Raw genomic sequence first — 14,381 nt, 5'->3', positions numbered from 1 at the left:
AAACATTTGCTCTAGCAGTGAGTGCTCCAAAGAAAACACAAGGTCCACAGCAGAGCGTCTGCTTTCTGAGCCACAGGGACTTAACCATTTTGGTTCTCTAAATATAAACTTGCATGTTACATAAACCTCCTTTTCTCACTAAGAGAAATCTCCTGTAGTATTTTAACAATGACTTGTACAGTTAGCCCCTGAGAAAAGAACGGCTATCATGGACCCACCGTGCACCGAATATATTCACCCTCCCATCTCCAGTGGGAGTGCGGCGGGGACACGGAGGCCCCGAGGAACATCCTCAACACCTCCTCGGCCTCCTCATCCTCCCCTTGTCAAAGGACGGCCTCACACCCGTTCTAGAACCAGACCCCTAATCATTGTGGTTTTTTTCAACGTATCATAAATGGCCCGTCATGGACTGAATGTTTGTGTCTCCCCAGATTTCGATGTTGAAGCCCTGCCCGCAGTGGGATGGTGCGAGGAGGCGGGGCTTTGGGGACGTGATTAGGGTTAGATGAGTTCATGAGGATAGGGTCCCCATGATGGGATTAGCACCCTTATAGGAAGCGGAGGAGACCCCAGGGCTCTTTCTTCACCACATGAGGCCCCAGCCAGAAGGCACCAACTGCAAAGCAGGAAGCAGATCCTCCCAGAAACCGGCCCTGCAGGCACCGTGCTCCCCGGCATGCTGCCTCCAGAACGCGGAGGGGCAGCCTCTCTGGCTTGTAAGCCAGCCCGTCTGTGGCGTGTGTCACAGCAGCCGAAGGGCTCGGAGGCAGAGCCCTTACTTCATGCCTTCCCCTTAAAACTGCAAATGTCTTCCAATACCCACCAGCAGGCAAAGAAGCAAAACAGCCCTTCCACGGACCCCACAGCGGCCTCCGGCTACCCGTGAAAGAAGCCGGTTGGGCCCCCTCCTCATTTCTTTCCTCCATCCTGTTGTAGGATGATCCTCCCAAAACTCAATGTGTAATGGCCTTCTCCCCTGCCCAGAAACTTCAGTGACACCCACCAGCAACAGGGCATTCACAAACATAGGCCTCTGTTGGCCTCTCCCCAACAGCCCTCCCAGCCAAAGGGAGGCCTCCTGTTCTGTGTTCTTCAGCCTCAGGTCCTGGCTTCCCCAGGGCCTTGTTGCACCGATGATGAGAAATCGTCTCCCACCCACTCTGACCTACAGAGATGGCACTGCCACGCGGCTCCTCCCAGCACGCGGCTCCTCCCAGCACGCGGCTCCTTCAGGACCTGTGCCCTGCACCGGGAAGCGCTAAAGTGGGCTGACCATGCTCCGTACTCCCACGTCTGTCCCTGGGCCTTGTCCCACCCCATTACCTGGCAGCATGTTGTGAACAGTGTCCTGCACTGGGAAGCGCTAAGGTGGGCTGACAGCGCTCCGCACCCCCCACGTCCGTCCCCGGTTGCTGTCCCATCCCTGGGCCCCGTCCCGTCCCCTTACCTGGCAGCATGTTGTGAACAGGGGTGGCGATGTTGATGTCCTGCAGGTGCTTGAGAGTTTCCGTGTGAAAAAGGCGGAGCGTGGACCCTGAGGTGAAGGCAATCCAGATCCCGACGCCGGACACGGCCATGTGGGAGATCACCATGCCTTCCTCCTGGTGGGCCTCCAGCTGACCCTGTGAAATCGAGAGGTCAAGTCTGCTAGCCCCGTGGAGTGAGTCTGAGTGGGGCCTGTTGGGTCCACGTGGCGTCCAGCTGGAGCGCCATTCAGTGGCTGCAACACAGTAGCAGGCTTTGCTCCAAATCACAGGCGTCTCCAGCAACCAAACACCAGCAACCCAACTGCCTGCCATTTTCCAATCATCCTGGCTCCTTTGTGAGCCCAGAAAATGGCCATTCCAAAGACACAGGCATGGTGCGCCTGCCGAGGGGCCACTGAGCTTGTGTCCTAAAGGAGACATGGGCAGGCTGGCGAGGGGAGGCACAGGATCCATCCCCCCAGGCCCATCAGAACCTGCTGGAACCTTCCTCGATGTCTCCAAGCTATGGCATGGGGCCCCACTGCCTGCCTGCAGCCTGACCCTGGTTCTGAGTCTGTGCCTCCTCTTAGCTCTGCTGTCCTGGAAAGGCACCTTCTGCTTCTCCAAGCAACTTGGTCCTTCTGGAGCTTCCAGGCTCAGCTGCAGCCCCGCAGCTCCGAAAGTGCATCCCAGCGGCCTGCTCTGAGGGGTCCCACGGGTGCCTGGGCCTGGGCCCTCGTCACCCCACAGCCAGCAGGAGCTGCTAACACAGCGACCCCCCAACATGGCCTCAGGGGCTGCCTGGAGTTCAGGCTCTCTGGGATCAGTCCCAGGAGGACTGCCCCCGCCTTGCCCATCAGGGATTGGAGGGGGTGACAGAGGGTGAGGGCTGGGATGAAGCTTAGAGACACTGCGTGCCCCAGGAACCAGCAGCCTCACAGCTCTTGAAATTAAAGAAACTCACGATCCTGCACAGTTATCTAAAGTAAAGTGATGAAACTCATAAAAACCCACAGGAAATAACCAGACTGACATCTTGGCCCTACGAGTTGTCCCACAATCTGAGAATAAGGGAAAAGACGACAGCCCCCATGGTGGAGACTGCTGACTCCACACACATGCCCCGTGGCACCAAACCCCATCCTGCGGCACTACGCCGCGCCCAGAGCCCAGTGAACCCGGCGGGCAGGAATTCAGGGATGCGACTTCAGTGGATGGGAGATCCCTTCTCCCATGGCATCGCCTCTTATTTCAGTTGAGATTCCATCAGGGACAGGGGCCAGAGGACTCCAGCCTACACAGGGGCGCTGCAGGGCCTGAGAGCTGAGGAGAGGACTGTGTCCTCAGGCTGGGCACGCAGGGCTGGGGTCCCGAGGGAGGCGACACGGTGCGGGAGGCTGGGGCCCCCAGGGAGGCGACATGGTGCAGGAGGCTGGGGTCCCCAGGGAGGTAGCACGGTGCGGGAAGCTGGGATCCCGAGGGAGGCGACACGATGCGGGAGGCTGGGATCCTGGGGGAGGCGACACAGTGCGGGAGGCTGGGGTCCCGAGGGAGGTGACACGGTGCGGGAGGCTGGGGTCCCCAGGGAGGTGACACAGTCAGGGAGGCTGGCCCACACGGCCCCAAGTCCCATCACTGTGGGTCTTGAGCGGGCTCCACATCTGACTGTCCACCCCCCTGGAGCAAACTGGAACCCCCCAGGTCCCCTGATGTGAAGTGAGAGCCCCACCTCTAAAATGCCCATTCTAGAGTCAGCCGTGTAATACCTCTCGCCATATGCCCGTAGTTTCCTCATAAAATGCCCATTCTAGAGTCAGCCGTGTAATACCTCTCGCCATATGCCCGTAGTTTCCTCATAGAAAATTTCTTCAATAATCACAAGTTGAATTTAAATATTTGTCAATGAGAAGGAACTGGTGCTCACAATTGCAAAGGAGTCTGCATCACTGACTTGTGACTTGGTTCCTAGGCAGATAATCCAGCTCTTACTCCCCAGCGGAACACGAATCTCACACACAAAGATCCCAAGTGTTTTTATGAACTGAAGCTTCACAGGATCTTCACAGTCTAAACTATCTGGGCTGTGCGGCGTGGGAGACAGAGCATCTGCCTGGGAGTTGGGAAGTCTTGGTTCGGATTCCAGATGGTTCTAGCGTGGGTCTGTTTTTGATCCCTCCTCCCTCTGACTTGGCCTCCTGCGTCACAGAGGAGAAGGTGTGCAGGCCCACACTTCCCTGACACTCCACCTCCAACCTGCAGAGCTCCCTGAATCTGGCCTCCTCGCGGCACTGGCTCCTTCCTCCCCTGCTCCTCGCCCTCCTCCTGGAATGGGGCCCTGTCTCTCCTGGCTTCTGTCATTGAGCCCCAAAGCATGCACAAGTCTCACTCAAATTAAAAAGAAAAATAGGGAAAAAGAAAAGGAAGAAAAGCCTGTGCCCCTTTCCGGCTGGGCTGTAGGGTTCCCCTCCTCCTGCCTGTGCTAGGCAGGCCGCTCCCCGCAGCCATTGCTTCAGGCTAACTTCTGCTAACTTCTCAGCTACTTCCAAAACTGCCACCTCCTTTTGAAAACACTGAGCTATAATTCACATATCATGAAGTTCACCCTTCTATAGGGCGCAATTCTGTGCTTTTTAGTATATTCGGGAAGTTGCCAACTTTAACCACTCTTGAATTCCAGAACATTTTATCACCCTTATGCCCCCTTCCCCAGCCCCTGACAACCACTCATCCCATCCACGTTCTGTCTCTGGATTTGCCTGTTCTGACATTTCATATAAACAAAATCCTACAATGTTCGGCCTTTTGTGTCTGGCTTCTTTCACTGAATTTGGCATTTTCCAGGTTCATCCACGTGACGTGAGTTGGGGCTTCACTCCTTTCTATGGCTGAAACCAATCCTCATGTATGAAGGAACCACATTCTGTTTGTCCATTCACCAGTTCCTGGGCGTCTGGACTGCATCCGCTTTTTGACTATAAATAACACTGCTATGATAATTCGTGTCTGCATGAGTATCAGGTTCTTCTGAATCTACACCTACGACTGGAAATGCTGGGTCACCTGGTCATGCCACGAGTTACTTTCTGAAGAAATCACAAACTGTCTTCTCAGAAATTGTACCATTCTGCATTCCCACCAGCAAGAGTCTCCCAGCATCCTCACGTACTCTGCAGTGCGTGCTGGCTCCACTAACATTATTATTCCTGCCATCCTAGTGTGTGACACAGTGTCTCACTGTGGTTTCGCTCCATGATTCCCTAACAAGCAACAATGCTGACCATCTTCTCGTGTGCCTATGGGTCGACTGTACATCTTCTTTGGAGAAATATCCATTCAGTTCCCTTGCCTTTAATAGCGTTACTTTTCTTTTTATTAAGATCTAAGAGTGAGTTAGATGCTCTGCATACTAGATCCTTCTCACATGAGCTGTACGTATTTTCTCCCACTCTGTGGGTTGTCTTTTCACCCTGCTGATAGTGTCCTTTGAAGCAAAAAGGTTTTAACTTTAATGAAGCCCAGTGTATCTTATTTTTCCACATTGGTTGCTTGTGCTTGAGGTGTCAGATCTAAGAAACCACTGTCTAGTCCAAAATCATGAGGATTTACCCCTATAATTTCTTTTAAGGTGTTTATAGTTTTAGCTTTTACATTTATGTTTTAATTCATTTGAGATAATTTTGTATGTGGTGTGAGGCAGGGGTCCAACTTCATTCTTCTGCACATGGAAGAATGAAGTTGTGCCAGCAGCACCTGTTGTGCCAGCAGCACCTGTTGAAGAGGCCATTCAACATTCAAATGGAATAGTTTTGGCACCGTGTTGAAAATTATGTGAACATAGACACACGTGGTCTCCGGTCTATGTCACTGATGTATGTGTCTGTCCCGTGCCAGCACCATGCTGTCTTGCTTACTGTGGCTATGTGGTAAAATCTGAAATTAGGAAGTGTGGGCCTCCAATTTTGTTCTTTTTCTAGATTGTTTTGGCTATTCTGGATCCCCTGCATTTCCAGATGAATCTCAGGATGTGCTTGTCAAGTTTTGTTTAAAAAAAAAAAGGCAGCAGAAATTTAGATAGGGATTATGTTGAATCTGCAGATCCAATTGGGGACTGTTTTCTTCTTAACAATAGTACATCTTCCAATCTATGAACATAGGATGCCTTCCCATTTATTTAGGTATTCTTTAATTTCTCTGAATGATGTCTTGTAGTTTTTAGAGTATAAATCTTGCACTTTTTGATTAAAAATTTCTCCAAGTATTTTTCTTTCTGACAGCATTATAAATGAAGTTGTTTTCTTGTCTCATTTTCAGGTTGTTTGCTGCTAGTGTATAGAAATTTAATTGATTTTTGTATACCGATCTTGTGCCCTGTAACCTTGCTCAACCTGTTTATTAGTCTAGTAGTTTTGCTGTGAATTCCTCAGAATATTCTACATACAAGAGGATATCATATGCAAATGCAACTTTACTTCTTCCTTTCATCTGAGTCCTCCACTCTTTTTCCCTTGTCTAATTGCTCTGGCAGATCCTCCGGTACTACTGTGAATAAAAATGGCAGAAGGCATCTTTGTCTTGTTCTTGATCTTCAGGGGAAAACTTTTCTTCTTTAACCATAAAGTATGATGTTAGCTGTGAGTGTTTTATAGATGTCCTTTGGCAGGTTGAGGAAAAATCACCTTCTAGTCTTAGTTTGATTGTTTTTATCATAAAAGGGTGATAAATCATGTCAAGTACTTTTTGTGCATCAATTGAGATGATCATGTGGGTTTTTTCCCCATTATTCTGTTAATGTGATGCATTCCACTGATTGATTTTCACGTCCTGAACCATCTTTGCATTTCAGGAATCCATCTCATTTTTCCAGGGTACACAATCCTTTCAGTACGCTGTTGATTTCAATTTGCAAGTCTTCCGTTGAGGATTTTTGCATCCGTGCTCACAGTGGATACCGGTCTGTGGTTTTCTTGTCATGTCTTTGGTATCGGGGTCATGCTGACTGCAGAATGAGTAGGAAGTGTTGTTCCGTCCTCATCAATATTTTTGGAGAGTTTGGGAAAGAGTACTGTTAATTCTTTTTAAAGATGTTTGGTTAGAATTCACCAATGAAGCCATCTGGTCCTGGGCTTTTTGTTGTTGTTCAGAAGTTTGTGATTACTGATTCAATTTCCTTACTACTTTTAGGTCTATTCAAATGTTCTATTTCTATTTCTTCATGATTCAGTTTTGGTAGTTTGTGCCACTCTAGAGTCTGTCCATCTCTTCTAGATTATCTAATTTGTTGGCCACCTGCTGCCTGTTTCACACACAAGTCTCCATCATAGCTGGTTTCTTTAGCTAGTTCAGAATAAAGCAGAAATTACTCCCTGGAAAACTGTTTGGGGCAGAGGAAGGCGACTTCCATAGAGAGGATTTTAAAAAGCAAAACAAACAACCGTGGCGTATGACAGAACTCTGGTGTGACTATAGAGGAGCAAAGCTTCTTTCTTTCCTCGGGCTTTTGACTCTTTCACAATCACAATCCAAACTTCTGGAAAGATGATTTAAAAAAACCAAACCCATGGAGTTTTTAACCCAGCGCAACCTCCTTTGTTCTAGTATCCAAGCGTCTCGCACCCCGTTACGTTGCTGGCAAAATACTCTTCTGAAAACAAATTTTGACATCTGTTCCACGCTGAAAACCCTTCAATGGCTCAGCACCGTCTGCTGCAAAAGTGCTGTTTAAAAGAAAACTACACAGAACTGTGCTCCAAGAAGTCAAGTCAAAGGCTGCTGGCTACCTTCAGCGGCATGGGGATGCCTGCACTGCCCATGCTTCCCCCCAGTCCCCGGGAGCTGAGCCAGTGACAGGACCTAAGCTCCTTGTCCCCTACTGTGCTCGCAGACCCACCCTCTGCTTCCAGCAGCCCCTTGGGGACCAGTAGTCTCGAAGCCTGATGCATCTCTCCCTCTCTGAGGTGGCATCCCGGTTTTTCTCCTAGTGAATCCCTCCTCACCCTCGACCAGCTAGCCACATGGGCACCATCCCTAGGCAGCTGCCGAGGGCCCTGTGCCTGCAGGGACGCATGCTTGGCTTGACGCTTTGCTGCTGCCGTCGTGAAACTCGTAGTAACCGTGGGATGCAATGCCCCTGGATTTCGGCTCACTGTGCCAGCCTGAGGCCTGGAGGGAGTGTTGCCCCCAAAACTCCCACAGCACCCTCACTCACGCTGGCAGCCCAGCCATCCTGGGACTGAGAGCCGGGCCTGTGTCATCAATGTCTTAACCATCTGTGGTTGCTCTGTTTTTGCACAGTGCTAGGTACTTGGTAAATGTTTGCTATGTTTCTTCTGGAGGACAGATTATATGGGTATTACCTTAGCACTGATGTTGGGCATGGCTTCTCCTTTCTCTAAGCCTTGGTTCTCGAAAATAAGAACACTGGGCCACAGGATCTCTAAGTCTCCGTTTGCCTTGAAATTGTGTGATTCTGAAGGTGTCTGAAAGAAAGCAGGCTATGGATTCCACAGTGTTCAGGAGTCTCCGGGGACTGGGATTCCACAGTGTTCAGGGGTGTCTGGGGACTGAGATTCCACAGTGTTCAGGGTTTCTGGGGACTGGTATTCCAGAGTGTTCAGGGTTTCTGGGGACTGGTATTCAACAGTGTTCGGGGGTCTCTGGGGGCTGGGATTCCAGTGTTCGGGGGTTTCTGGGGACTGGGATTCCACAGTGTTCAGGGTTTCTGGGGACTGGGATTCCACAGTGTTTGGGGGTTTCTGGGGACTGAGATTCCACAGTGTTCAGATTTTCTGGGGACTGAGATTCCACAGTGTTCGGGGATCTCTGGCCTCTTCTGCTGACCTGGGCCTGTTGTTTTATTTTCTGTGTTTAGATATAGGGTCTCGCTATGCTGCCCAGGCTGGCCTTGAACTCCTAGCCTCAAGCAGTCCTCCTGCCTCAGCCTCCCAAGTGGCTGGGATTACAAGTGTGAGCCACCGTGCCCGCTTAGGCCTGTTTTGTTGCCCTGTGTTTCTTTCTACACAATGACAAGAATTAACTTCCTATGAGAAAAAAAACGCATTGCTGCAGCAAATCACTATGTTGCACTATTTAGGTCATCTTTAATATCTCGCCTATTTTATTATTTCATTGTTTTTCCCTTCAGTGGAGGATGAGGGCCAGAAACCTTTTTCCTCTCTTTCCTTCCTTCCATCTGTCTTCAGTCAAGAGCACTGCATATTGCAGAAAATCAAGAGTGAGGAAGAAAAGGTTTGCACTTTAAGCAGCTGTAGTCATTCCACTGAAACTAGCTGTGACTCAAGGCTCTAAGCAAGAAACCTGTCCAGGCAACGCCCCCCAGAAATCCAGAATGATTCACCCTTTTCCTAAACGTCAGACGTCAGATCCCTTAGCACTGCATCGTGTTCCTAACACTATGAGATTTAAACAGCAATTGGACAAACCCAGGGTAAAGGGCCATTTGCAGTTGGAGAAAAAGAGATACTTCCCCTCCCCTAAAGCATCCAGGTGACTGTGACTGGCACCGTGCGGCAGCTCAGCGTCCATGGCATGTCTTCCCATCTGCTCCTGACGGCCCTGACAGACAGGTGGGTGCCCCCTGCCACGTTGGGGGTGCTGCACCAAGCACCCGGCTCAGCGTCTCTACTGGTTCGCCCAGTGCTGCTTTGTTATGGCGCCAGAGCTGGGACGGGGCCAGCCACCCCCACCGGTATGCTGACTCCTCCACTGGCACAGTCACTCCAGGAACACCGAAGCCTCAGAGCCTCAGGTGCCTTTTTCTTCCAAATATGGCTAGCATCTCCCAACCCGCTCAACCCAAGCCCAGATCACATGCAGCTCCCAGGCCGGCACTGTTCTGACAGCATATGGCCATTCGGGACGGATCCCCCCGCAGCTGCTGCCCTCGCTGTCAGCAAGGCGGACACATACCCAGGGCTCGAATCTTGTGGGCTCAGGTCCTGTGGGCTGCCCCAGCCCCTGGCCACAGTTCCCCTGCACAACGGGAACGACAGGATGAATATCATGTTTTCAGAGAGCAGATTTTTGCTTCTTTCTAAAAATGTATTTAGTTATTTTGGTACTAAAAATGCAAGGAAAGAGCCCTATATCTGGATCCAAACACATTGCTTCTCTCTGAGTCTTCGAGATTTACAGCATATAAATTACAAGCAGCCTGAGAAAGGGGAATTACCCCCAGCTGTCAGCTCAGACAATTGAGACCCAGGTAGGCGGCTGATCCAAGATCACCGTATACTATATGGCTGAGCTCCCTCTGTAAATACGCAATTACTAGGATGGCTGTACTGATGGGGTACAAGGGCTGTGAAAAACTCAAGAAGCTGTGACCGCATCCACGGGGCTACCCTGCATGGCCGCACTAGCTAATCCCTGGCTCCCCACGAAACTGAAGGCTTCTCATTCTCAGGGCACGTGAAATAAGAAGTGTCAGATGGATATGAAAAGTAACAGGAACAATACTGCCAAAAATCATCTAACATGTACCCCAACCTCCCTGTCCAGCTATTTTCTGTTCCTGTCTAGCAGACCAGGTCTCGAAGGACGTCGGGGAGGCTGTGTCAAAAAAAGACTCACGCGGGAATGCTATTCATGATCCACGGCAGAGCGTCGGCCTCCAGGAGGCTCAGGACCCAGGTCCCATCTGCACCTTGCCCCAGTGTGGACCTCGCATTCCTAACCAAACCCACGTCTCCAGGGGCCAGCCGGAGAGCCCTTTCCTGGCTGAAGACGGCATTAGCCCGCATCCCACTGTGCTGCAAGCCAAAGCGGTGTCCACGTGGCAGCTCAGGAGCCACTTTCCCTCTGAGATGACAGAGGATGCAGCCTAGGCACATCCTGAAACCGGTCTCGTCAGTGTGTGCAAATATGATTCATGAAATGTCAGCAAAATGTCTTAAAGTTCCTAACCTGGGGAACTGATACATCCCTCCTAACGATGGTCTAGAGAAGTATTTTTAGAAGCTCTTAATGATAACATTTCTTTCTGGATTTGTGTAGATTTAGTCATTAGAACGTCTTCAGAGGCTTCAAAGAGATGAAATTAGACCCCTTGCCCCAACTGAAGACACTTTCCTGTGACATTTTGTGTGAGGGTCAAAGGAATTTTTTTTTTGAGACAGGGTCTTACTCTGTTGCCCAGGCTGGAGTATAGCAGTGCGATCTTGGCTCACTGCAGCCTCAGCTTCGTGGGCTCAAGTGATCCTCCCACTTCAGCCTCCCGAATATCCTACAGGCATGCACTACCGTGCCCAGCTAACTTATATATTTTTTGTAGAGATGGGGTTTTGCCATGTTGCCCAGCCTGGTCTTGAACTCTTGAGCTCAAGCGATCCACCTATCTTGGTCTCCAAAAGTGCTGGAATTACAGGTGTGAGCCGCTGTGCCCGGCCCAGAGGAATTTTTAATGATGAGTTGGTCCATTTTATTGGGTGAAAACACACCTGTGTTATCCCAGTTTGTTTAGGGACAGTGGGGTCAAGAGATGGCCAAGAACAGACAGTAAAAAACAAGACAGCGCAACCTCATAATAAACACCACATATGACACGGCTGAAAAATGCAGGTGTGAGGGGAAGTATGTAGCCTTTTCCTCATCATTTCAGGAATGTCAGTCCAACTTCACACACACACGCTGGCACGTCACACGGCCACTAACAGCAGACACGGGTGGGCTCATCAGGCACCACAGCCTCCCTCGGAGTGAGCTCGGACAGTGTTCCGCAGCCTGCTTCCCTGCACGTGCCCCCATGGGCGTGCATTTAGGAACACCCACAAGGAGAGTTTGGGCCTCCTCCCGCTGCCTGAGCTCACCTGCTCTGTGGGGCATAGATGCCCTCATTTCCCCAGCTCCTCCCATGCACATGCATTTAGGACACTCCCAAGTGTTTGTGATACCAACAAGGTTGCAATGGATACCCTTAGATGTGCGTGCACAAGCTCCTCTGTAGAGAGGATTTCTCTAGGGTGCGGAGTTGCCAGGAAGACGTTATGAGCCCCAGTGCTAACTGGTAACAGGTGAGTGCCCTCCGGAGGGGCTGCCCTAAGACCCCGCGGTCCTGAGAGCCCTGTGTCCCCACGTTCCAACCAGGTCGTACTTAGTGTTTACCTTCTGTCAATCTGAAGAAATGGCACCCTGAAGACCAGTGGTTGCCGAGACTGGGGGAGGGAGGGCTGAACAGAGAGCAGAGGATTTCCAGGGCAGTGAACCCACTCTGCGCGATGCTGTAGTGGTGGACAATGCTGAGATACATTTGCCCAAACCCACAGAAGCACGGCACCAAGAGTAAGCCCCCAGTGGACCCTGAGTGATGAGGGACTGTGGACCCTGGGCAATGATGACAGGCCCATGCAGGCTCACTGACTGTAACAAACGCACCACTCCAGGACGGGGCTGATGGGGGGTTGTGGGGGGTGTGCGTGTGTGGGAGGAGGGGTACATGGAAAATTCCGCACTTTTCATTCAATTTTGCAGTGAACCTAAAACTGCTCTAAAAATAAAGTTTATTAATAAAACAGTACCTTGTTTTAATAGGCAATGTTAGTTGCTAAGGAGGCTAAGTTATATGTGTATGAGTTTATTGTTTATTTCTTTCTTTTTCTGTGAGCTGCCTGTTCATGTCCTTTGAACATCTTCTATTGGGTTGGTTACCTTTTTCTTAGTTTAATAAGAAATCTTTGTATTTTAAGAACATTAATTCTTAGTCATATATACAGGAATTTTTTTCCCAATTTTTCCTCCATAAATATTTGATACACATATTTCAATGTGAAAAAAGTTATTAAATTGTACCATTTTATTTATTATGGTAACTTCTGGGTTTGTGGCATGCTTGGAGAGGCTTTCTCCATTGCAAAGTAATAAAACTGTTCTACTGCTTTTTATCTTAGAGGTTTATAGTTTCGTCTTCATGGTGAAAGTCCCATCCATCTGGAGTGTTTAGAGGAGGAGAGGGCTGGGGTTTGAGAGCCAGCTCCGTGTTTTCCAAACGGCTGCCCACTTGTCTCCTGATTCTTTGGTGAATGATCCATTTAGCCCACTGAATTGAAATGTCACCTCAATCAAATGCAAATTTTCCCTAAGTCCTGGAGGACTCTACAGGTTCATACTGAACACATTTCTTAAAGCAATGTTTCTTTTACTTAGCAGATAACCAGTGAACACAGGTAAATGGTTAAAAAATGGTTAGTTGAATTTTCTTGCTAATCTTGTCTTTCTAAGCAAAATCTAGAAGGAATTTTCTTTCCCTTTCCTTTTTTTTTTTTTTTTTTGGAGACAGGGTCTTGTTCTGTCACCCAGGCTGGAGTGCAGTGGCGAGATCTTGGCTCAATGAAGCCTGGACCTCCTGGGCTCAAGTGATGCTCCTGCCTCAGCCTCCCGAGTACTTGGGACTACCGGTGTGCAACCACCACATCCACTACAGGTGCGCACTGCCCTACCCAGCTAATTTTTTTGTAGGGACAGGATCTCACTTTGTTGCCCAGGCTGATCTGGAACTCCTGAGCTCAAACAGTCCTCCAACCTTGGCCTCCCAGAGTGTTGGCATTACAGGCATGAGCCACTGTGCCCGGCTAGAAGGAAATTTAGCCACAGGCAAGAAGCCTTGACTTCGGCACCAGAAGTCAGCTGAGCTGTTTCTGAAATGCATTTTTTCCACACCGTGTAGCCACCTAAGTGACTTACCTCTACAGCATGAGTCTCCACACTGATGATGAAGACTTGACCTCCGGAAGCCGCCCACAACGTGTCTTCCATCATGAGTAGACTTCTAACTGGTAGGACGCCTAACTTGATCACTTTTTGAGGTTCTGAATCCCAGGATCCATCTTAAAAGAAAATATTTCATTTCATTCAAGTTCAGTTTTCTGTGCACAGGAATGGGAAAATGGGGTCATACATCATTTTAAGTAACTGACACCCGAAGGATCACCTGTAATGTTAATGCTTGTGCCTGATCCTGGCTGTGTCTGGGGATCGACAAGCTGACACCCACCCCAGTTGGGCCATGGTGCACAGTCGGGAAGCACAGACAGCTGTGGGACACGCAGCCCTCAAGACCCCCCACCCGCCCCCCTGCCTATCCCCTCCATGTGTGTCCCAGACAAACCACTCATTCACCCTGAATCTCAGCTTCCTTCAGGGTAAGATCGAGACCATCCTACCACTAGCCGCAAAGGTTGTATCAAAAGTTAAAAATGAAATAATGCATGTACAAAGCTCAGCACAGTACCCAGCACACAGGTATTCAGTCAATACGACCATTTACAATAATAGCAGAGAAGATGATTCAGTCATCATTAAAAGGAACTGCATCCAAAATAACTGGGCAGATGTTACATTTCCCCATTAGCTGCTTCCGTTCTAACATGTGCCTTGCTCTATACTGCATCACGAAGAGAGGCCATATCTTCACAGAATACTTTAAGAAATCAAAATTGAGGTAAAAGGAATTCCTTACTTTTGATGAATTTGTTCCCTTTCTTGAAGCCTAGACAGTCGTGAAATATTCTGGTTTGAAAATATATCCAAAGATCTACTGACAAGGTCTTTCACACTTTATATCAAGTATGAGTTGCTACCTTGAATACCAATAAAAATTATTTGAGGCAAGATTTACCATAAACTTCTAAAGTGACTAATGTAATTATCCTATAAATAATTAAAATGAATTCTTCAATTCTCAGTCTAACCATTAATTAAGGCATCGACCTTAAAAGTGTAACTAAATTATTAATCCATCAATGCCGTCGACTTCCTAATCAAATAAACACACTTCACTCAGGAGAACACGGCCTCAGTTCTTATCTCTTTGTTCTGGATTTCAAGCACTGAACCTTTGAATACAAAACAAGTGTCTGAAGTGGAGGTGTGCAGTCACTAAAAGGCAACTATGCAAGCTCT

At 49.1% G+C, this 14,381-nt stretch overlaps 1 protein-coding gene and 1 long non-coding RNA gene across 23 annotated transcripts in view, besides 1 other annotated feature; one reads left to right on the top strand and one right to left on the bottom strand.

Annotated features, from left to right (window-relative positions):
- ARHGEF10 (Rho guanine nucleotide exchange factor 10) overlaps positions 1-14,381 on the bottom strand; it is a 135,313-nt gene that overhangs the window by 11,536 nt on the left and 109,396 nt on the right. For 21 of the 22 annotated variants that reach the window (XM_047422452.1, XM_047422450.1, XM_047422454.1 and 18 more), the window contains 2 exons: positions 13,164-13,306; positions 1,451-1,625 (listed from right to left, as the gene is read on the bottom strand). In XM_047422452.1, coding sequence (XP_047278408.1) covers positions 1,451-1,625; positions 13,164-13,306 — 318 coding nt within the window. Of the gene's footprint in view, positions 1-1,326; positions 1,626-13,163; positions 13,307-14,381 lie in introns of all 22 variants that reach the window. The other variant, XM_047422453.1, reaches the window with a different exon arrangement.
- Positions 527-678: a silencer, noted in NCBI's record as "fragment chr8:1894594-1894745 (GRCh37/hg19 assembly coordinates)". NCBI's record gives its function as "represses an EF-1alpha promoter that drives an FKBP-Casp9 reporter gene in an ReSE screen in HepG2 liver carcinoma cells {active_cell/tissue: HepG2}" and the evidence as "EXISTENCE:reporter gene assay evidence [ECO:0000049][PMID:32094911]".
- On the top strand, positions 4,336-12,369 carry LOC100131395 (uncharacterized). Its single transcript, XR_110093.6, has one exon. It is a non-coding gene; the product is annotated as an uncharacterized LOC100131395 (long non-coding RNA).

Source organism: Homo sapiens, chromosome 8 (assembly GCF_000001405.40).
Source record: "Homo sapiens chromosome 8, GRCh38.p14 Primary Assembly".
In the NCBI taxonomy this organism is placed as follows: domain Eukaryota; kingdom Metazoa; phylum Chordata; class Mammalia; order Primates; family Hominidae; genus Homo; species Homo sapiens.
Note: the sequence above shows the minus strand (reverse complement) of the source record. Positions and strands in the feature narration are given on the sequence as shown.